Source organism: Homo sapiens, chromosome 9, assembly GCF_000001405.40.
Source record: "Homo sapiens chromosome 9, GRCh38.p14 Primary Assembly".
Taxonomy (NCBI): domain Eukaryota; kingdom Metazoa; phylum Chordata; class Mammalia; order Primates; family Hominidae; genus Homo; species Homo sapiens.
Window position 1 is genome coordinate 16033938 of NC_000009.12, and position 23071 is coordinate 16057008.

Sequence of the window (23071 nt, forward strand, 5' to 3'; positions counted from 1 at the left end):
GGGGAGTGGAATGGTGTCTTCCAGCCTGAGGCTGCCCCAGAATTCTGCGTGCTTCACATGTGCACAACAGAATTTGTTCACCTAAGCTTCTTAATATAAGTTTGAAGATCAAGTGCTTATCTCATATCTTACATATTTTCAGGAATGCTGAAAGAGGGGAAACATGCCACCTAGTAGCATTTCCCGAAAGAATTACCTGGGGGAAGGAAGCAACAACGTGCACTGACAGGTGCTAGGTTCAGTCACTGGCTTTGGGTTGCCGCAGAGCCCTCCTGGTTTTTGTAGCAAGAGGCGTGACTTCAGTTGTGTTGGAGTTCCCACCATTGGCGTCTATCAGCCTTCCTTATGAAGAGATGCAAAGATTTAATGGTTTCAGGAGGGAGGCCACCTAATTTGACACACATTTGACACACACATTTGACACATTCTGCACATTCTTGTACTAGAATAATAGTAGTCTGGTGAGATGATTTTCAACGGGTGGTAAACTGCCCTTTTTACTTCATTGTGGGAAGGGAGATCTCACACATTTTTTCCACAGTAATTTGATTTGAGCTGAGAACAACTGCAGGAGACACTGTTGGGAGTGCAACCAAGGTTCAGTGTGGAGGTCATTACTGTAATTAGATGTTTCAGTGCGTGTGACATAGTTGAGTTCTCTTGAACGCCTCAAGGAAGCCTCCTGTCGTAGTTCTGTCCATCAGAATGGACAAGGGGCCAGTGTTCTCACCACTGTGATGGACACTGCCCCAATCCTGGGGGACAGGTGGCTTTAGTTTTTTGGAAAGCTAATATAGCATGAGACTTTACCTACCAAAGCTTCCCTGGATCTCAGATTGGCACTACAATCATGTTTTTTGTGCTGTGGGCTTTATTCTCCAGAGTTTTTACATGTGGAGTCCTCCATTTGGTTTTCAAATTTTCTGGGCCCAAGGGTTAACTTGGAGAGTGGGGTCTATCCTCCCCTATCCCCAGGCCAAACTTAATAAATGCACAATTGAGAAGAAACATAGTACACTTGATATGCAAACACAGTTCCAAATTGAGTCTGCCAGCCCCCATCTTTCAACCAGATGGCTACCCCAAGACCTTTGACGTCTCCGTTAGTAGGGCTGAATCGAATAAATTATATACTGAGAATAAAGAAAACTTAGGTAAAGCAGCATTTTGTAAGGGAACTGTTTTCTTAGCTCCCAGGTTTTGACTGCAGCTCTCAGCTAATTCAGATATCTGTTTATAACAGCATTTGGAGAGATCCTTCAAATTCGGTCTTAAAAACAAAAAGAACATACTAAGAAAGAATCCACAGGAGGATTTGAACTACATATATGTTAATACATAATTAACATGGACATTATTAGATATAAAAAACTAACACAGTGGATCCCTTTAAAAAAATTTTGGTTCTTTCCCCCTAAATCTCTTATGCAGTTATGTCTAAGAGAATTGTCTTCTTTTTTTGTGGGGTGTGCTTTCTCTTAATTTAACACCCGAGTTCACAGATTACTTCCTGCCCTAGGATCTGTGGCGAATGTCACCACCTGTGACAGCGCTCTTATTTATGAACTGAAGAACACTCTCCATCTTGGTATGTATGCTAATTCAAAATCCACTCCAAGTTCCAAGCATTTATGATGATTTCTAAAAGAGATTACTTTCCTCCAGCATTCTTTGCTTACTGCCTGCTTCTAGTTACTTATTTCTCCAGGAAAGATTTACCTTTCTGTGAGCATGGCTTTATAGCTTTCTGGCTCTCTGAACATTTTCTCCCTGCTGCCTCTATGTGTTTCATTCTCCCCTTACTGAAGATTAGAAGAGGGGATTGATATTTGTTTCAACAAATATTTATTCAATATCCACTATGTCAGTCACTGGGCTATGTTGTGTGGAAGAGTAACTTACACATTTGATCAGAGTTGAAAATAAATTCTACCGCTATGCAGAAACAGGCTCACCTTGATGTTTCCTGTGAAACACTATCAACACCTTCCCTGGTTACAACAGCTGACTCTTACCTTTAATAATTTTGTGCCCACAGCTGGGGGTACACAATCATTGATGGCATAGATTTATACAAGAGAAGTGTTGAAGAAAAGTTATTGGTTTCAGGGATACTAATTGTTTCCTCTAATGATCACTTCTTCCCTTCCTCTAGGCCCTCTTGCCAGAAAAGTTCTTTCTCCACAGACCAACAGGAAGTTCCCTAAGTACTATGAGACCTTGTCTTTGCCTATAGCTGGCTGCATTGGACATGGATTCCTGGCCCAAGGTGAGAAAGACACAGAAACTACATTAGTTGTCTTGGGAACGTGAATTGGAAAGGCAAGTATTTGTGAATGCTGAGACCTACATTTTGTGGTTTCCATGATGGCCCAAGAACAGCCCAAAAAGCCATCAGCACAGAGAGACAAAAAAGAAATTTCTTGGCCGGGCACGGTGGCTCACGCCTGTAATCCCGGCAATTTGGGAGGCCAAGGCAGGCGGATCTCGAGGTCAGGAGATCAAGACCATCCTAGCTAACATGGTGAAACCCCGTCTCTCCTAAAAATACAAAAAATTAGCTGGGCGTGGTGGCAGGTGCCTGTAGTCCCAGCTACTCAGGAGGCTGAGGCAGGAGAATGGCGTGAACCCGGGAGGTGGAGCTTTCAGTGAGTGGAGATCGCGCCACTGCACTCCAGCCTGGGCCACAGAGCGAGACTCCGTCTCAAAACAAACAAACAAGCAAAAAACAAATTTACCTATCTTAACTAGCACCAAAAATTCTCTCAGTTGTCAATCAAGAATTCTGAACCAAGAATCCAATGCCTTACTTGGGTTTGAGGTTTGAATTTACACTATAGATGTGGTCTAGGAATATCTGAGATGAGATATTGACATAAACATGTGATTCTATACTATTCAGCCATAAAAAAGAATGAAATCCTGTCATTCACAGCAACATGAATGAGCCTGGGGGACATGATGTTAAGTGAGATAAGTCAGGCACAGAAAGACAAATACTGCATGTTTTCATTTGTGGGAGCTGAAAAAGTTGTGCTCATAGAAGTAAAGAGTAGAATGCTAGGAAGGGGTATGAAGAGGAAATGATGGTTACGGATACAAAATTACAGCTAGATAGAAGAATAAGTTCTAATGTTCTATAGCATTGTAGGATAACCATAGTTAATAATTTATTGTATATTTTTCAAATAGCTAGAAGAGAGGATTTTGAATGTTCTCAACACAGAGAAATGATGTGTTTGAGGTGATGAATATTCTATTTACCCTGAATTGATCATTACATATTGTACACATATATGAAAATGCCACTCTGTACCCAATAAATATGTACAATTATCACATGTCTAAAAATAAATACATGGATGAATAAATGTGATTCTAGGCCATGATGCCATGCAATCATGAACCAGGCACAAAACTCTCCTGGTTGTGAGGTCACGTCCTCAACCCAGACCACACAAGATCCCCTGAATAGAGAAAGCTCCACTGAAGATGATCTCAGCTTCCAAAATTATGAAGAATATTAGGAAATGGTTTCCCATGAGAGAGAACCAGTGGATAGAATACAGAGCGAGATCAGATCCCCAGGCACTTCAGATAATAAATGTATTACATAAAGACTATAAGTAGGTTTAAAAATGATTCAAAGCATAAAATTAGGAATTGAAAACATAATAAATTATGACAATATATAAGGTACCATGAAAAAATAAAATAGAGATTTTAAAAAGAAACAAATGAAACTTCTAAAAGTAATAAATATTGTCATCAATTTTAACAGATTAGATATGGTTAAAGAAAAAAGTAGTAAACTGGAAGAGATTTAATTCCAATTCAGAATGCATCACAAAAACGTAAACATGTGAGGGAGTAACTAAAGATATGGAGGAAAGAATGAGAATAAGCGTTTAGAAGTAGAAATAGAAAATGAAGGAGAAGAAATATTCAGAGAGAAAAAAGACTGAGAATTTTTTTACAATGTCTAAAAGATAAATATCATAAGATTCAGGAAGTACAGTAAGTCATGAGCTGAATAAGTAAGTGTGAATTCAAACTTCAAGTCCACTATAATGAAATTGCAAAATACTGATGCCAAAAAGTTCTTAAAGCAATGAAGATTTTTTTTGTAGGAAATATAATTAGGCAGCAGATTTCTTGACAGCAACAACAGATATTAAAAGTCAAGAAGATGACATACCCAAAGCACTAGGAAAAATCACTATCGGTTTGCAATTATATAGCCAGCTAAACTATTACTCAACAACACATATAAAATTAAAGTTTTGTTTGGTTTTGGTCACCAAAAATGTAAAGTAGTTGCTAAGGGATTTATTTCAAGTAGAAGAAAATTGAACTAGAAAGGAAGGGATGAGCTCTAAGAGGGGAAGTTAAATTTAAACAAGCATTGTCTGTAGAAGTTAATAATCTTGACAGATTTTAAGGGTATAAAAGTGAAAATAATATATTTGACAACAATAATAGATAAAATGGGTGGGAGATGTTTGGAGCTCTGAAGATTGATAGGTAAGTAGAAATGACATTTTGTACTTTTCAAAGTCAAGTATGTGTGTTAAAAATGTAAGGGTAACATCTAAAACATCTGTATGTATATACAGAAATACAAATAAGACTGATAATTACCAAATCAGTAGAACAGGAAAAGAGGAAATAAAGAAATCAGAATCAATCCCACTAAAAGTTTGGAAAAAAGAAAGCAAAGATCATATATAGCAAAGTAAACACAAAGCTCAAACTAAGATGGCAGAAATAAACCCTAAAAAATGTTAATGAACTAAATGTATCTGTTAAAACACAGAGATTGTTAACTTGGATGAAAAAATTAAAATCTATGTGGTTTTATAAGAGAAAATATGAGGGCAAAGAAAAGAACAAAAACAGAAAAAAAAATAGAAAAAGACCTATCAGGCCAAAAAAAAAAAAAAAAAAGCTGAATATAGTTACACTTATGCCAGACTAAAGGGCGAAATTTATGATTACTGATAAAGGTTGTTATACAAAATGTAACACTTTTAGTATATATATAATATGATAGTCTCAAAACTTGAAGTCCCAAGAGGAACTGTGAAATTATAATCATAGTAGATGTTTTAACACATCTGTCTCAGGGAAGTAAAGCTGACTTTAAAAATTAGTGAGGAAGACTTTTCAACAAGTCATTTTGGGAATGATAATGAGAGTTGTCCAAATAGTGCTTCTGGTTCCAGCTCAATGAGGTTCAGGGTCCTTCTTAGGCAAATTTTCCGTAGTAAACTCCTATGGGGAGGAGAGAGCAGGATTCTCTGACCTTTGCTGTCACCTGTGCAGGACTCCCTCATGTGGCTGAGGCCCCTATTCCAGCCTTGACTCAGGGAGGGGGTGATTTTGGCATGTGAGTACTGCTGTTATGTAACTTGGCTACGATTTTTTTCCTTCTGCGTTTTAAGTTAGTGCAAGCTATTGTGGCCTCAAGATTCTTTACACACAGCTGAGGCTGCAGAAAGTCACATGCGTTAGTTAGAATGTAGGCTAAATGGCTGTCACAAAGACATGGAAGAATACAGTGGCTCAGAGGAGGCTGATTATTTCTCCTCACGGAACAGTCTAATTTCCCTGCAGGTCGGTAGCCCCAGGAAGGTAGGTGGCGCTGTTCCATAAACTCGTCTAGCCTCCTTCTGCTGTGCTACTCCAGTAGCCCCTAAGGTTGTCCTCTTCCTCATTCTTACATCTGCGTCCCAGCCCATGGGAAAGGCAAGCAGCTACTTTAAAAAGATGTGACCCAGAATTTGCACACATTACTCCTACTCATGTCCCTCTTCTTGGAAATCATCACTCAGTCACATGGCCCCCCTTGAGCTACGTGGGTGTCTGGGAAATACCATCTCCAGCCAGGCAGCCATCTTCCTTGCTTCTGTGTGTGTGTGTAATGGGGTGGGGGGTGGAGGTGGAGTTGTGTTCATTCTATTGCCAGAAGGAAGGAGATTGGACCGGATAACAGAAGAAAATGAGCAGTGTCTGCCACAGCATACAAGCTTATTTCTAATCATCGCCTACTCATTACATGTGAGGGACACTGGAACCTTTCAGAATCTCAGTTTCATCATCTAGAAAACTGCACCTCACAGAGTTGTTGTTAATGGCAATCAAGATGAAGGGAGGGAAGGTGAGGGCCAGCTGGGTGCCCTGTTACCCCCTCACTCCACAGTCCCTCCTCTGCATAGCACAGAGGCCCCTAGCCAGACGCATACTCCACCAGAGAGCCACAGGCATCGTGTTGGAGGCTGGCCAACGCTTTGCCCAGTCCTGCCTCTGTTCCTGGAGCCCCTCTTTCCTTATCTTGATCCCCCCACTTCTCCCTCCCACACCTCCCCAGTGAAGGGATTCTGCAGATTGATGGACTGTCATCTAGAAGGTGGAGGCAGACCTCAGATTCCTGAGTTCTTGAAGGAAAGGGATTAATGAGCCCTCAGAGTTGTCTCTGGGCTGGAGCTCATCTCAGTGCCTGCTCCAGCTGGGACGGCCCACCGCAGAGAGAAAGGCAGGCGGCTGCGAAGCTTTGGTCATGCTGCCCCATAGGTGACCTGTCAGGTTTTGTTTGTGATTGTTTGTGCCCAGTGGTGCAGGTCACACGCTGAGCTCCTCCCAGGAATTTGATTGTTTGCAGTTGTAAAGTGCAGGAGCTTGGATCTGTCCGAGCAGAGGGTTAAATCATAGAGTGTTTTACAAGAGCAGCTATAGGGAATGCCTTGTTTTCTCCTTATATGGCTATTTCTCTCAGTCCAGAATCCCAGGGTGTATTTTACGTGGTTGAAATACACAAATGGAGTAACAGTCTTAGCCAAACATGCTATGTGGCTTTAAAATTAACAAGCTTCTCTCTACTTCTGTACCCCAAACACACATTCACATGCATAGTTTCTGTTGAGACTCTGCAAAGATACTCTCTCTTTTTTTTTCAGCCAAAAATATTTGATGGGGTGAATTTCTACAGTTCCCTTGCTTTATACATAAGAAATATTTCTTTTGAGGAGAGGTGTTTGCAAGCGTGTGGGTCAAATCTAAGCATCAAGTTCTTAATGAGCAGCTACTGTGTGTGTAGCTAACTCTAGGGTATAAAGACAGAATTGGGTGCCCAACATTAAAATATGACAAGGAAAGATGTTTAATGAAAGTTCAAGATGACACTGGGCAAAGTAGCAGAAGGCAGCACTAGGTGAGTAAGCACATGGGCTTCCTTTGCCACAGGGGCTCAGAGGAAGGAGAAATCTGTTCAGATTGGTGTGTTCAGGACAGATTTCATGGAAGAAGTGGAGGTTTCAGCTAGTCGGATTTGGCCAACTAGGTCAGTGGGAGCAGGGAGGCATTTGGGAGCAGGGAAAAGGCCTGAGAGAAAATGCAGAGGAAATAAAATGAAGGAGCTTTTAGAAGACAGCAAATAATCTGGTGTCTAGAGCAAATGGCTCATGCAGGAGAAAAGGAAGTTTAGGTGGGAAAGATAGACTGAGGCTGGGAATGTTCTGTAGAAGTCAGGCGAAGAAGCTGGGGTTTTTGTTTCATGGTAAAGGGAGGGCAATGAAGATTTTTTAGTACTTATTTTGATCTGAACCAGGTGTCTGAGGTTCAGGATTTCCAATAATTTATATTTCTGAAATGTTATTATTTTTTCTTTTAGCCTACCTTAGTGAATATCACTTAACCCAGAAAACTAGGATTGGATTAATTAAATATGATGTTTGGATATTGAAAATAAGAGGGCTTATCGAAATTTCCTTATTGGTGATTTCGTAAATGAGAAATACAGAGTTTAATATTGAATATAGTTCTTGGCCACACCTTCTGGAACACAAATTATGAACTCAGGTTTTGCAGGGAAAAGTTGAATGACCAACCTTCATTCTTTGTGGGCACAGGAGGAAATTTTGGAGAAAAAATTTGGCATTGGATTCAGATCCAGAAACACCATATTCTGAGCAAGTTTAGATGAAAATGTGCATTTTGGGGGCATTTTGGAGATAAAATCTGGTATGGGAATGATGTTCCCCAAAGCCCGCTTTCTGAGTCTCATTCAATCTTCATTTTAGTTTTCTTTCAGAGATAAAGCTGAAATTATTGTGCATATTATAACTGCAAAGAAACTGCCAGGGAGTTTTAATGACTTTCCCAGACTCAGTCAGCTAGTTCGTCGTGGAGCAAGACTCTTGCGAAGCTAGTGGTATCCAGGCAGCCTCTCTGGAATAGTAAGCTGGCAGTGGGCGGGCTCCAGTGGATTAGAGCGCAGACATATAGTCAAGGAGGCAACCAAATTAGACCAGAGAGCCTTTTGCAGCCAGGCAGGTGTGAGATGATAATAAGACAACTGGGAATGAGGCATGAAAGAGAAAGCCCTTATGAAGAGGATCATGAGGATTCTGGCCTGAGAGAAGAGGGCCCCATCAACCTAATAGGCAGCCTCTTGAGGCCAGGTGGCAGGGAGGGCTTCTGGGTAGGACCAGCTTCAGGAAAGACTCAATGATTGAAGGCGTTTTGCTCCCCAGGGACCTCGAGGAAATCACTTGATTTTTCTGAGCCTCAGCTTCTTCCTGTGCTAAATAAAGTGAATTATAACCCCTGAGGACAAAGTGTTAAGAGGATTAAATGAGAAGACTGGACAAAGCATCTAGCTCAGTCTCTGGGGCACATTTGAGTTCAATACAGATTTTTTGAATGAGTGCCATCAAGAACTGTCAAGCTAGCAATGATATGGGGACCTGCAGTTTCTCTAGGGGTGAGGGTGGTGATGGAGTTTATGTCCAGGAACAAAAGAGAGACTCTAAGGAAAAGTCTCTTGGAAAATAACTCTTTTTTTTGTTTTCATTTCTAATAGTTCATTAAAGAAGATGAGGGAAAATAAACACACATGTACACGCACACCAGATAAACTGAATGCTTCCTTCTGCTGGGGACACGCTGTAGGTGAGCAAGTGCACCAAGGACAAGGCGGCCACTGGTAGGTGCCCTTTGTAGGCCTATCAAGGATCATTTGAGATGATGCTATTTTCCTGCTTTAAAATCTCCTTCTAAAATATTTAGTGCTTGCAGTGGGGAGTGCCAGGCTTCCAGGTGGCTTGCCCAGGTATCAGATGAGTGTTAAGCCAGGAAAGTGTGATGAGCCCAAGTCAGCATTGAAATATGCAAGGTCCAAGGATGCTGAAGCCAGAGAGGTTGGGGAAAAAAAGCAGATATATATGGGTTCTATATAATTGTTCACTATCATAGTATATATTATTTGCAAATGTTTATTGTAAAATCCATTGTGTAATACAACTCTTTCTTGCCTCTGGAGAGTAAAATTTTTATTATATATTTTTGTGTGTTAATGCCATTAGTGTATCCTTGTTCTTATATCTTGGATGACTGTTGTTAATTTATTATGACTATCATTTGTATTAGGGAGCTACATTACCAACATTTATTTGGGGTGTTGAAAAGTTATAGATAAATTAGTTTTGTAAGAAAACAGAATCTTGGGGATGAGTACTGAAACATGTAGAACCAGGCCAGTTATGAAGCAGATTTCGTAAAACCATTCTCAGAAATAAAAATGTGTCCAAAAGCCCCACCACAATATTTGTTTTCCATGGTTCTTTTACACCTGCATGAAGTGGGCTCAGCACCAAAAGGGCCACATTTACCTGTGCCACTTCAAAGACCAAAGGGAATCCTTTTGAGGAGAGACTAGTAAGTCCCAGTGCTGGAGGAGATCTGTAGATATCAGATGTGGCTTTGTTCCTTACTACTTTCTTGGACCTTTTCCTACAATAGTGCTTGTGGAACCTAAGCTATCTGTCCATCTCATAGTAAATTTGAGAGAGATTTCAAAAAATCAAAGTACTGAATCTTACTACAGGGCCCTTAGGATGAGTCAAGATCTTGTTTGGGTTTCAAAGAAAAATTCAGTGCCCTGGCATCACAGATACGTCCATTTGAGTTGCAGTTACCCTTGTTCCAGGGTCTGGAATGCATGGTTAGCATAGGCAAACCTAGCCAAGGAGAGAGAGCTCAGCAGTCACCAGGGAAAACAGTGCCATTCATTCTGAGAATGTGCAGAAACAGCATTTGATTGGGAAGAGGCCTTCGGTCATTTATCTCTCACTTTTAAAATGATGAGATCGATGTGTCTCCCCAATGGGCTGTCCCCCTTCTATTCAGCAACAATACACTACTTCTTTTCAAAGAGAAATATGCTTCCAATAAGGGGGAAGGGAGGCTGGGGGTGGTAGTGAAGGGGATCAAGCAACTTTCATTGAAGGATTCATTTTTGATTTAAATATTTTGTTCTAATCTCCAACTTCCTTTTTAACTTGGCAGAATGACCAAAAGAAAAACAATGTCCCTCCCTAGCCCAGTTTACAGCCTGTCAGAGGAGAGGATCCGGTTACTTCTTCCAAATTGTATACGTTGGGTTGTTTGATATACTAGGTTTTTTTTCTTTTTACATCCATTGCTCATATACATAGGGTTTTCTTTTAATGGCTTGTCAAAGTGGACTTTGGTGAAAAACCACAGGAGAAAAAAAAAGAATGAAAAATATAGATCAAATATAGCCAGCTATTTAATAATTTTTTTTTTTTTTTGGTTCTTTGAGTATGTTGTGGAAGGAATTCTCTGCAAGTGATACATCCTGTAACTGTAGGCAGATGTAATCCCCTGGCCGTGACACAGGCAAAAATTTCCCTTCACATTGGAGACATTTGCAGCCATTTTGTTCCCTCCCACAAAGAGGAAGTGCACAGGGAGGAGGACGCTCTGGGCCTCATGCACTCCCTGCAATGCTCCAGAATTGTTTTTACAATTCCCATGATGCCCCATGAACTCTGCCTTGGAAGGGAAAGAAGCCCAGGGTATTGCAGCCTGGGGTTGGAATCTGGGCTGAATCTTCTCCAAAAGCCCTTTCTCCTTCTTGTTGCCAATTTGCCCCACTCCTTGCTTTGAGCTTGGCTTCAAACTCTTCTCAAGGACACATGCTGAGATTGATTCTGCCCAATCTGGTCTCTGCTCTTTTTAGCGTTACCTATAGTGTGTCTTAAGAGGTTACTGCTTGTCTTATATTCATTGGGACTTGTACCTTTGCTTTGTAAATATGTAAAAAGCATATTTTTTCCTTGTGGTGGAGAGTGCTTCTTCTAGTGGGTATAGGAATAAATTCCACCTTACTCAGACCAGAAATAGCCCAATGCAATTCTTGTTTGGGGGTCCCCAGAAGCACACCCTGAGACAATGATTTGAGTGCAGTGGCGCAATGGGGAGGAATCCCAGGAGATCCTAGGAGAGGAGTGGAGAAATGAGACAGGGAAGGGAAGGAGGCCACCAAAGGGAACCTCGTCAAGGTGGTGGCCACTGTGGACAACTGGATCTTAACACAGCCCAGGAGGCTTGTCAACCTCAGCACTGTTGACATTTTGAGCTGATGATTCCTTGTTATGGGGGCTGTCTTGTGAATTACAGGAGGCTTACAGCAGCCCTGACCTCTACCTGCTAGGTGCTGGTAGCACTCCTTCCTTCACGGCTTATTGTCATGGGTTGTAACAATCAAGAATGTCTCCAGACATTGCCTAGTACTCCCAGGGGGACAAAACTCCCCATGGTTTAGAACCACAGGAGCCACAGCAACTCTGGCCATGGGTAGTCTGGCCACCATGCTCTGAGATGGTAAAGGCCATGGTGAGCCCTGGAGTGTCCACTGCATTCTCTTCTAGAGCCAGAGCAGCACTTGGGGAGGCTGAGGAGTGAATAGAACTGCCTGTCACTCAGCAGACAGCTGCTGGGATGAGGCAGGCCTACCTAACATAAAACCAATGAAAATATTTGTTTTTGGTGACTCTTTTCTAACTCTGCAAGCTCCCATTAACCTGGTGATCTCTCATCCTTCACCCCCATAAAATCCTCTCTAAGAAAAGGTTAGATAAACCCAGGCTCTACTTCCCTGGGATATACACATTCTCAGAGCCTGGAGAGAATATAAGCTAAAGGAAAACAACATTTCTTGAGCCTATTAGGAGGGAGGCAATTTCCTTATGGGCTATCTCATTAATTCCTCAAATCAGCCCTGTGACAGAAGTCTTATTAACCTATTTTACACACTGGTTAGGTCACTCCCATAGACACAGTTATTGAGGGCAAAGTCCAGATTTGAATTCAGCTCTCCTTGCATCTAATAAAGGGCATGGATTTTCTGTGTTCACTATGGGTTGGTGAGTGTGAGGGCAGAATGCTTTAGAAAGAGGAATATTTTCAGGAGGCTCCAACACATGGATGGATGCTGAAGAAACCAATCGAGAAGTAAAATGGGGTCCGGAGTGTGGGAACTGAGGGTTTCAGAGGAGCAGGGTGCATTAGAGTAGGCAGTGGCTGCCAGGCTTTTTGAGGCCCAAACCAGAGACTTGGGTCTGCAGAGCTGTGGTTGTGTTCCACCCAGAGCACCTGCAGGGCAATCTCTTTTCTTCCATGTGCCACTGATAGTATTTTGGAAAAGCTCTGGCAAAAGTTCTCAAAATAGCCAAATTCAGTGGACATATTTTTCCCTCAACTAGACCTTGACATTTGACACAGTGATATGGTTTGGATCTGTGTCCCCACCCAAATCTCATCTTGAATTGTAGCTCCCATAATTCCCATGTGTTATGGGAGGGACCGGGTGGGAGATAATTGAATCATGGGGGTGGTTTCTCCCATACTGTCCTCATGGTAGTGAATAAGTCTCATGAGATCTGATGGTTTTATAAGGGGTTTCCCTTTCACTTGGCTCTCTCATTCTTGCTTGTGTGCCGCCATGTAAGATGTGCCTTTCACCTTCCACCATGATTATGAGGCCTCCCCAGCCACGTGGAGCTGTGAGTCCATTAAACCTTTTTCTTTACAAATTACTCAGCCTTGGGTATGTCTTTATCAGCAGCGTGAGAACAGACTAATACACACAGTAAACCACTCCCTTCTGGAAATAACCTTCAGTCGTTCCCCAGGCATCTCACTCTCCTTCCCTCCCTTCACTCTGACCATTCCCCTCAAGTCCCCGTAGCTGGGTCTTCTCCTACTGCTTTCTAGTAAGCATGGACTCTAAGGACTGCATCCTTGGCCTACTTATTTCATCACTTACCACAGTTTCCCTGGGTGACCTCTTAAACTGCAGTATATTTAGTTCCTGAATTTAAGAATGGCAGCTTTCAAGTCTGATCTCCAGCTCAGACCCTTTAGGGTGGTGAGTGGGGGTGGCATTTTCATCCAAATGTCTTCTGGGTACCTTGAACTCAACATGTCCCAAACAGAACCCAGTAATCTCCCTCCAAGTGCCCTTAAATCTGTGCCCTCCCTGGTCTCTTTCCAGTTGATGGTCCATCTATCTATGCAGCTGCCCAAGCCAGAAATCTGGGAGCGATCCTAACCACCTGCCTTTCACCCACCCCTGCCTAATAAGCCTCGTTCTACCTCCAGCATCTCCTAGGTCTGTGTCCTCTTCACTACCTCCTGCCACTACTTTAGTACAGGTGCCTTTGGGAGTCATTCCTCGATTATCACTGCAGCCTCCAGGTGGTCCCCCTGTCTCTAAAGCCCTCCTAATTTTCTACCTGTGGCCATTCTTTCTTAAAGATATATGACCATCACCAAATTCTATTTGAAGGTTTTTAAAATCTCACAGTTTTCAGGATGAAATCCAGTAGTTTAGCCAGACACACAAAGTCCTTTGTTACCTGGGAAGTGGGTAAGAGTCAGGAGCACGTGGATTTGAATCCTGGTACCTTGGGTAAATGACTAATCCTCTCTCAACGTCTGCTTCCTCAATTGTAGAATAGGGATCAACCACAGTATTCACGTAATCTATAAAAAGCACTTTTAAGAGTGCCTGGCCCATATTAAGAGATCAATAAATATTCTCGATCATCATTGTTGCCTGGCTTCCAGGTTGTGATGGGTGTGAGGTAAGGGGACACTCATGGAAGAGCTCTGCCTCTGCACATCCTCTCATTTCTTCATCTTTGCTTCCTCATCTGACACAGAACCGATGGCTCTCAGAGAGGTAGGGAGTGGGGACAGAGGAAGGATGAACACATTGCCTGCAGTGGCAAGTTGGCTCAAAGGGATGGCCCTCAGTGGAAATGCACAGGCAGAGGAAGAAGGGTTTTGAGTCAAAGCACCAAGTGACTTGTCAAGTTTTGACATTGGCTGCCAAGCTTGAGCTGCGTCCTCTGTAAGAATTCGCTACTCAGTCCCTTGAGCTTCCTTTGGAGCAAATTTAAGAGGTCTAACATGTTCCCAGTACCATTCTCCCTGATGGCTGAACTCGTGGGAAACGTGTAGAGCTCTTAGTTGTGTACAGATGGCACTCTGCATGGCAGTAGGGCTGGACAGGAAAGGTGCAGACTGATGGGCCTCTCTCTGAGGAGGGAGCTGGCTGAGGGAGGGAGGATGGCAGGTTGCCTTGGAAGGTCCCATCTTGAAGAGTGAGCTGGAGGCACCAGGTGAAGTGGGGCCAGCCAATGCCACATTACAAATTAGTGACGTTGGGCCCTGGTACTTCAGTAACAGTGACAACCCCCCTCAGTTTCTTTCAGGGTCCTCCTGTGCCCCTTATCTTTTAGAGATTAAGACCACAGATTTGGGGGCAAAATTTTCAGGATTAGAACCTCAGTTCTGCCATTGCCATTTAGTAGCCAGTGTAACTTTAGGTGAGTGGCTTTATCTCTCTCTCTTTTTTCTTTTTCTTTTTTTTGAAAGTAAAGAAATAAAGAAATAGGCAGAACACCCGGCTTTAATCTCTTTATGCCTCTGCTCTGTCATCTGTAAAGTGGGGATAATATCATAGTAGCATCCACCTTAAAGAGTTATTGTGGGAATTTAAATGAGTTATTAGAACAGTACCTCGCACGTAGTAAACGCTGTGGACAGGCAGTATTAACAAGGGTTTCAGGGAGGCATTTAGACCACACAATAGGCTGAGAGACAGAAGTGATGAGTTTGGTGCCAATCATAATATAGAAAGACAAAAAAAAAAAAAACCCAAACACCATAATCCCAAATGTTGAAATCCCAAAAGATCAAAATCCCTAAAAATTACAATCCCTAAAGTCTAAAATCCTTAACATCTAAAATCCCTAATGTCTACATTCAGAAAATCGCAATCCCAACAGATTAAAATCCTGAATGTTGAAATCCTGAAAGCCGAATTCTAGGGAGGGGATTAGTATATTTTCAGTTGCATGCAGGATTACTGCATTGTGTCAGTTGCATCATATTAGGCAGAACAATTACCTTGTTATTGTCTTTATTTGGAAATGAAGTATGGCTTACAGAGATGTGTGTGGGTGCCAAGTGGATGAGGGGTAGAATTGTGGACTTAATTTTAGGTGTCAATTTGACTGAATTAAGGAATACCTAAAAACCTGGTAAAGCATTATTTTGGGTGTGTCTGTGAGGATGTTTCCAGAGATTAGTGTGTGAGTCTGAATGAATTAGGCAGGGAAGATCTGCCCTCAATGCTGGCAGGCACCATCTAATCAGCCAGGAGCCTAAAGAGAACAAACACAGAAGGCAAACTGGTCTTTCTCTGAAGCTGGCATGGGCTTTTCTGCTGCTGCCTTGGATATCAGAACTTCAGGGTAGCCGGTCTTTGGGCTCCAGGACTTACACCAGCAGCACCCTGGGTCCTGAGGCTTTTGACCTTGGACTGAGAGATACACCATCTGCTTTCTAGATTCTGAGGCTTTCAAGTTTGGACAGAGCCACACTACCAGCATCCCCGGGTCTCCAGCTTGCAGATGGCCTGTCATGGGGTTTTTCAGCCTCCGTAATCATGTGAGCCAATTCCCCAATAAATCCCCTCTCATAGATCTATATCAATATCCTATTGGTTCTGTCTCTCTGGAGAACCCTGACTAATATAGATTTGATATCAGGGAAGCCAGATATTATTCTTACTGTTGTTTTTTTTGTTTGTATTTTGACAGAGTCTTACTCTGTCACACAGGCTGGAGTGCAGTGGTGCAATCTCAGCTCACTGCAACCTCTGCCTCCCTAGTTCAAGCGATTCTCCCACCTTAGCCTCCCAAGTAGCTGGGATTACAGGCGCATGCCACCACACCTGGCTAATTTTTGTATTTTTAGTAGGGACAGAGTTTTGCCATGTTGGCCAGGCTGGTCTCGATCTCCTGACCTCTGATGATTCACCTGCCTTGGCCTCCCAAAGTGCTGGGATTACAGGCATGAGCCACCGCACCTGGCTTTCTTACTGTATTTCTTACAGCACAATGGAAGATCTGTATAATTGTTGATAAGTCAAGTGTATGAGGCTACTTAATGGTAAAGGATAAATGTTTAAAGGCTAATTATTACTGGTGCTGTAAAAGCATAAATTGCTTAATTGCAATCGCCAAGCAATAATCCAGTTTGTGAATGGACAGCATATACTTTCAAAATTTGTAGACCATAATCACTGTCCAAATACAAATACAATACTCATTGTATTTTGAAGATCTTAGAGGTAAAAATGCAGATGAACAATACAAGAACTCTCTCCTGGCAAATTATTTAATCATGTATGACTTCTGCCCCTGTGCACACAGTGCCAGTTTGCCATACTGTTTTTCACCTTCACATTATTACCAATACTGGAGGTATGACTTATGTAAACTTTAGGGGGTTCTAATTCGTTTTATGCACTTTTTTGCAAATTTGACACCACAAAAGTGCATTATCACAACATTGTCTTTGTATATGAGCATTGCACATGTCCATAAAAATGTTGAAACTCCCTCAATAAACAAAGAGCTGTCCCTTTTGTATATCTGCGTTTGTGAAAAATAAAATTTCACAAGATCTGGGCTCTTGAGCTACTGCATATGTGGTAGTAACCCCTCAAAGTTTTTGAATGATCTTGTCAAATGACTGAGGTTGTCCTTCCAGGTATATCCGATGACCACAGTTATAAAGCTGACGCACACAATTACCAACCATAGTGAAGCACTTTTATACATGTCACTTTTTGACCTCTTTATGAATATGGTTCATCTGCTCATAACTTTTATACTCATGACTGTAGTTAGTATACCTGAGTGTTTATACTTGCAAAAATATATTTTATTGCCTATTTTACTGTACAAAGTGGCCTATGCAGTGTTTATCATATTTTTATATGTTTCTCAAATAAATTCCCCTTAAAAACATAAATAAATGTTTTTTAAATAATTTATAAAATTATTGTTTTCCATAATTATATTTTCAGGATTTCAACATTCAGGATTGTGTCTTTGGGGATGATAGCCCAAGCTCTGCTGGGTTCTGCTGTCATCCGTGTCTCTAATGATTCATGTCACTTAGTCCCTCTGACCTCAGTTTCCTTATCCAAAACAGTGTCTGGACAATGTGTTTTCATAGCAAGCAGTCCCCAGCCCTTGGTTTTGCCCCCTGTGCTGGGAGGAGTCCCAGGCTATCCTCTCTCTCCCTGACTGCTGCCCTCATCCTCTGGTCACCAAGGCCTGGGTAAGTTTGCTCTGGTTCTGTTTTTAGAGAGCTGTCTCTCTGGGTTCTACTTGCCAGCCCCTCCTTAACCGTTGTGGCCCAAACACTCCCTGCTGTGGCCAGCTTTGAGGTACGACCCATCCTTTGTTGTTTTCCTAAACCCAGTCCACACCATTGAAAAACAAATTCCTTTATTAAACTTCACTTGCTACCCAGCATGAGTGCACCATGATGGATCTGGAATCAAACCCCAGTAATTTGAATCCAGAGTTCTTAACCACTACACTGTCCTCATCATCTCAGGATGCAAGTGACTTCACATCTCCTTAGTTTTCTAACTGAACTGATTTGAGCCCCCTGTATTAGTCTGTTCTTTTACTGCTAATAAAGACATACCCAAGATTGGGTAATTTATAAAGGAAAGTGGATTAATGGACTCAAAGTTCCACATGGCTGGGGAGGCCTCAAAGTCATGGAGGAAGTCGAATGAGGAGCAAAGTCACGTCTTACACAGTGGCAGGCAAGAGAGAGAACTCCCCTTTATAAAACCATCAGATCTCGTGAGACTTGTTCACTATCGTGAGAACAGCAGGAGAAAAACCTGCCCCCATGATTCAATTACCTCCCACCAAGTCCCTTCCACGACAGGTGGGAATTACAGGAGCTACAATTCAAGATGAGATTTGGGTGGGGACACAGCCAAACCAAATCACCCCTTTTGTTTTGGGGTTGTGGACCCCATGCTTCTGTTGGAGCCTCTCCATCCTTCTGAATTCTTTGTCTCAGTCCAAGTACTGGAAGGAGGGAGAGAGGGAGGCTCTGAGGAGGCCCTCTTGGTCCTGGTGTGATCCCTGCTGCTGTTTCTCCAGCACGTCATCATGGGCTGTCATTGTGGAAAGCTGGCCTCACGCAGTCTGGCCTTCCTGTCTGCTGCTGCTGTGAGACTGTGGCTCATCCGGGCTGTTTTCTGTCATGAACGAGTGACAGCACTCTCAGGCCCAAGATACCCCTGGGTTACACATGTGCGGCCTCCTTTTATTCTCACAAAGCTCTTATGCCACACAAACTTCTCTTCACACTGGAAATGAGGAAACTGAGGCCTAGGAAGAGTAACTCACTGATCTGCATTATATATATTAGAACTTTCCAGCTTTAAAATAAAATTTGCCTCCTAAACCTCCTTCCTGGTGTTAACAACATTCTTAAGAGTTAATCATGGGCCTCCCCAGCCAGGGCCCGGGGCCTTTTGTAGAGTCCGCCCTCTATTTGATTTGTTCCATGATCTCAAGCTCTGAATTTGTCCTGTATTTATCACTTTCTCTTTCTTCCCCTCTGTTCACTCCACAAACTCTCTTTCTTTCCTCCCCCAACCCACCGCCCCCCATTACACTTTGAGAAGTTGTTAAAATCCAGAGTGAGTGAGCGTGTCCCATTAAAACCCCTTTTCTTTTCAAACGGAATGTGAGTCTTTCCAGATTCCCTTTTCCCATCACCCGGCTCGCCGTTCAGCCACATTTAAGTCCACTGCTGACAGATGGACTTCCGCTCTTCCCTAAGATCCCTCTCCCTCGCCAGGAATATTCTATGCATACATTGTTGCTGGAACGGTAACATTTGCAAAACCTTAACATTCCATGTCTCATATCCACAGGAATAATTCTTTTCAGAATTGTAGCTGGACAAATCCTAACCGATGGGTGTTAAGTTTCTAAGATCAAAGAATTTTTGAGCTAGAAAGCCTATTGGAGATCTACAGGCAGCTCCACTCTAGACAGATGAGGAACTTGAAACCTGCAGTGCTCAGGGGACCTGCCCAAGGTCAACCATCAGCTTGAGCGTGGACCAGAGTCCAGGTCCACTGACTCTTGGGCAGCGCCCAGCACTGTTGTGATGCAACTTGCAACATTTTCCACCTCCCGGCATCATGGCAGCCTCGCCTGAGTTTTTGGTGTGGGAGGGTGTCATGTACAGGGAAGGGACTGGGGGATACAGGCAAGTAAGGGCTCACATGTCAGCCCTGCCACTTACATGCTCTGTGTCTAGTCAGGTTACTGGACCCATCCGCGCCTCAGTTTCCTGTCCTTGATGAATGTTTGTTTGAGGATATGAGGGTGCATGGCACATAGGTGAAGAAGTGATTGCCTCTTTTCTCTCATCTCCTGCTCCCGTGCCTCTCCATAAAGCAATCCGCTGTCAACCTGCCTCCTGAGCACGGCCCCTCTCCATCAATGGTGGCAGCAGATGCTATTTGCCACGAAGGCTGAATCACCAAAGGCTGCAGTGTGGGGCCGGAGAAAGCTCCTGATGTGAGTCTGGCACCTCAAGATGGTGTCTCCCTCACTGGGGCTGCACCACTTCATTTCACAGGCTTTGCAGAGTGATGGGTTTTAAAGCACAGTTTCACAACTATTCCACTAGAAGGCTTTGGGTCCATAGATGAGTAAATCTGAACATCTCTTCTCATGGCCATGCTGCCTGTCACCTCAGTGATGCATTCAAGTTCTTGCCCCGTTAGCACTCTCCTTCGAGCCTCAGAACTGAGCCAGTCTTTGTCAAAGGGAGAGGAGGTGGCCTTGGTTCCCAGAACCTGCAGCCTGGCCTGCTGATGTTCTTTCCTGCCTTCTGAAACCATCTTTCCTTTTCTTCCGGGTTCAGCGCTCCTTTTAAAAGTGGGCTCATGAGGCCACGTATTTGAGTGCGTGGAAAGATATGGTCCTTCTCTGGGGTCCGGGCTTTGTAGACAGCAGCTAGACCATGGCCAGAGGGAGCGAAGGGAGTTGCCCATTCAGGGATCCTGGAAGAACACCCTGGTAACCCATTATCCTGCCCTCAAGGAACCCTCTAATTAGTAGGGGGAAAGATACATAATAAATAATTGCTACATTGTGACAGAGGCTGTCATTCGGGTGTGCACGAAGTCCAGAGATGGCACAAAGGCTTCCGCAGCTGCATGGAGTAGTCAGTGGGGCTCCCACAGGAGGTAACGTTAGAGTGAATTCTCAAGGACTCGTAGGAGGGCACCAGCTAGATGGGGAGGGAGATTTCAGGCATAGCGAGTCCCATAAGCACCTTTGTTGTTGTTGTTCTCTAAAGATCCTCTCCCCTGCCTTCCCCACTAGGACCTGGAGATTCCTTGATTAGTGGTGGTTAACTGTGACAGGCCTCCTACCTGTCTGGAATAGAGCCAGGGGGAGGACTTAACATGGAAACTGCCGGCTTCAAGGTTCAAAAAATATATTTTTTAATGTAAAAAGCCATTTAAACATTTCCTCCAGGGAGCTGTTTGATGGAGAGAGTCCTTGCAGCTTGGGTCTTGAAAGGATCACTGCAGGTCAGAGCTTCTCAGGGAAGTGTTATTGGCATGTTGGATGGGATATTTCTTAGTGGGGAGCATTTAGGACACTAGTCCTTCAGGCACTAAGGCAATGAGCATTGTTGTGACAACCCAGACACCCCCTCCCCACACACATATATCCAAACACGCAGGGCGGGGGGCAGGTGGAACTACCTTGGTGAGAACTTAACGTGGAGACGAAGCCCCTCGGGGCAAGGGTGGATGCAGAGAGGCCAGTTGGGAAGCTGCTGCGGTGGCCAGGTGAGAGGGGGCAGTGGCTGTCGGGCTGGTGGAGGTGGGAAGGTAGGATTTGAGGAATTTAATGATGGATGAGGCATTAGAGAAAGAGAAGGACAAAGGAGGACCTCAGATTTTTGACCTGAGCATTTAGAAAAATGGAGATGTCATTTATGGAGATGGGGGAACTGTAGTAGGGGCAGAGATTTTTGTTATCTTTGTTCGTTTATTTGATAGGGAGATGGGGTAAAATTACATTTTAGTTCTGAGATGCCCAGAGATGTTTTGGCAGATGTCTGAGTATGGAGTTCAGAGAGAGTTCAGGAGGCAGAGAGAAGTTTGGGGTCCTCTTGGTGGCTAAAGCCACAGGCTGGCTGAGCTGGGTCACTGAGGAGTCTGGGGGCAGAGCCTGTGGTCCTTGACACTCATGTGAAGAGGAAGAGGAGACCGGTGTAGTAGGAGAAGAACCTGCTGAGGGAGGGCTCTGGAAGCTTTCTGTGAGAGTGTGCCAGGCTCTGTGTGGGGTCCTTTCATGTCCACTGCCCCCTCAGCAACGCCGCTGGGCCCTGTGAGGCTCATAGTATATTGCAGGAAGAAGGCTCTGAGAGGGCATAATCCTTCTGCGTTAGCTTTTGGCAAATGAAACGTGTAATTTCTTGATGCCTATCCTCATTTTGCAGCATGTTGGCCTTACCTTGCATCTGCTGAACATAGCCCTAAAGTAGTGGGAGATGACACACATGTGCCTCCTCCAAGTTCAGGGGCTCAGGAAGGGAGAGGAAGCCACCAATGGTTCAAGCGGATTATTCCTGATGCTCCCAGATTCTGTGTATGTTAGGAACTATTGCAGAATGCAGTAATTTCTCTGGGCTCTTTTTAAAGCAAGCAAGTGCTATTAAATCAGAAATTTTACCTTTATTTGAATTAAGAAAAATTCAAACGTGTACCCTCTATATGCCAACAATTGGGTAATGAAATATTCTGCAGCCATTTATGTTTCTGAGAAGGAGGCAACAACATGGAAGAATGCTTTTATTTTAAAGCTTAGCAGACTATAACATTGCATATTCAACAGATCACAACCATGTAATCTAAACGAAACAAAACAGATATTCAGGAAAAAAACCCAAACATTATAAATAATCTGCTAAATTATTAATAGTGGTTTTCATTGGTGGTGGGAAAATAAGAAATTTGTGTCTTTTCCCTGATTTTATATATTTTCCACATTTTTGTAATGAGTATATTCTGTATTGTTTTAGAGCAGTGTTGCCCAACGGAACTTTCTACAACAATGGAACTGGTCTATGTTTGTACTGTCTAATCCATAGCCACTAGCCACACATGACTACTGAGCACTTGAAATGTGATTAGTATGACTGAGAAACTGGATTTTTAGTTGTACTAAGTAATTGTTAATTTAAATTGAAATTCAAGTAGCCACACGAGCCTAGTGACTACTATATTTGACAGAGAAGTTTTTTGTTCTTTTGTTTTATTTTGTTTTGTTTTCGAGATGGAGTCTCGTTCTGTGGCCCAGGCTGGAGTGCAGCAGCATGATCTCGGCTCACTGCAACCTCCGCCTCCCAGGTTCAAGCAATCCCCCTGCTTCAGCCTCCAGAGTAGCTGGGACTACAGGGGTGCACCACCACACCTGGCTAATTTTTATATTTTTAGTAGAGACAGGGATTCACCATGTTGACCAGGCTGGTCTCAAACTCCTGGCCTCAGATGATCTGCCTGCCTTGGTTTCCCAAAGTGCTCGGATTAGAGGTGTGAGCCACTGTGGCCGGCCCTAACAGTGAAGTTTTAAAGTATAAAAAATAATATAAGAGAAGATGAATTATATCTCATTAAAGCTGTTAAAGCAATATAAGCATTTAAAATGTGCTCAGTATATTATGTTTAAAATTTAATTGTAATGTAGAAATGAGTTTGGATTTCAAAATAGAGAATGTAGACACAGCAGAAGTATTGGAGTTTTTATTTAAATTGCTTATTTTCTAGCACAATAAA

At 43.1% G+C, this 23071-nt stretch overlaps 1 protein-coding gene across 2 annotated transcripts in view, besides 1 other annotated feature; it reads left to right on the top strand.

Moving 5' to 3' along the window:
- CCDC171 (coiled-coil domain containing 171) overlaps positions 1–23071 on the top strand; it is a 556042-nt gene that overhangs the window by 481053 nt on the left and 51918 nt on the right. For both annotated transcript variants that reach the window (XR_007061261.1, XR_001746227.3), the window contains exons 26-27: positions 2156–2269; positions 8861–8983. The gene's annotated coding sequence lies outside the window, so the exon portion shown is untranslated. The remainder of the gene's footprint in view (positions 1–2155; positions 2270–8860; positions 8984–23071) is intronic.
- Positions 2318–2573: a silencer, noted in NCBI's record as "fragment chr9:16036253-16036508 (GRCh37/hg19 assembly coordinates)". NCBI's record gives its function as "represses an EF-1alpha promoter that drives an FKBP-Casp9 reporter gene in an ReSE screen in HepG2 liver carcinoma cells {active_cell/tissue: HepG2}" and the evidence as "EXISTENCE:reporter gene assay evidence [ECO:0000049][PMID:32094911]".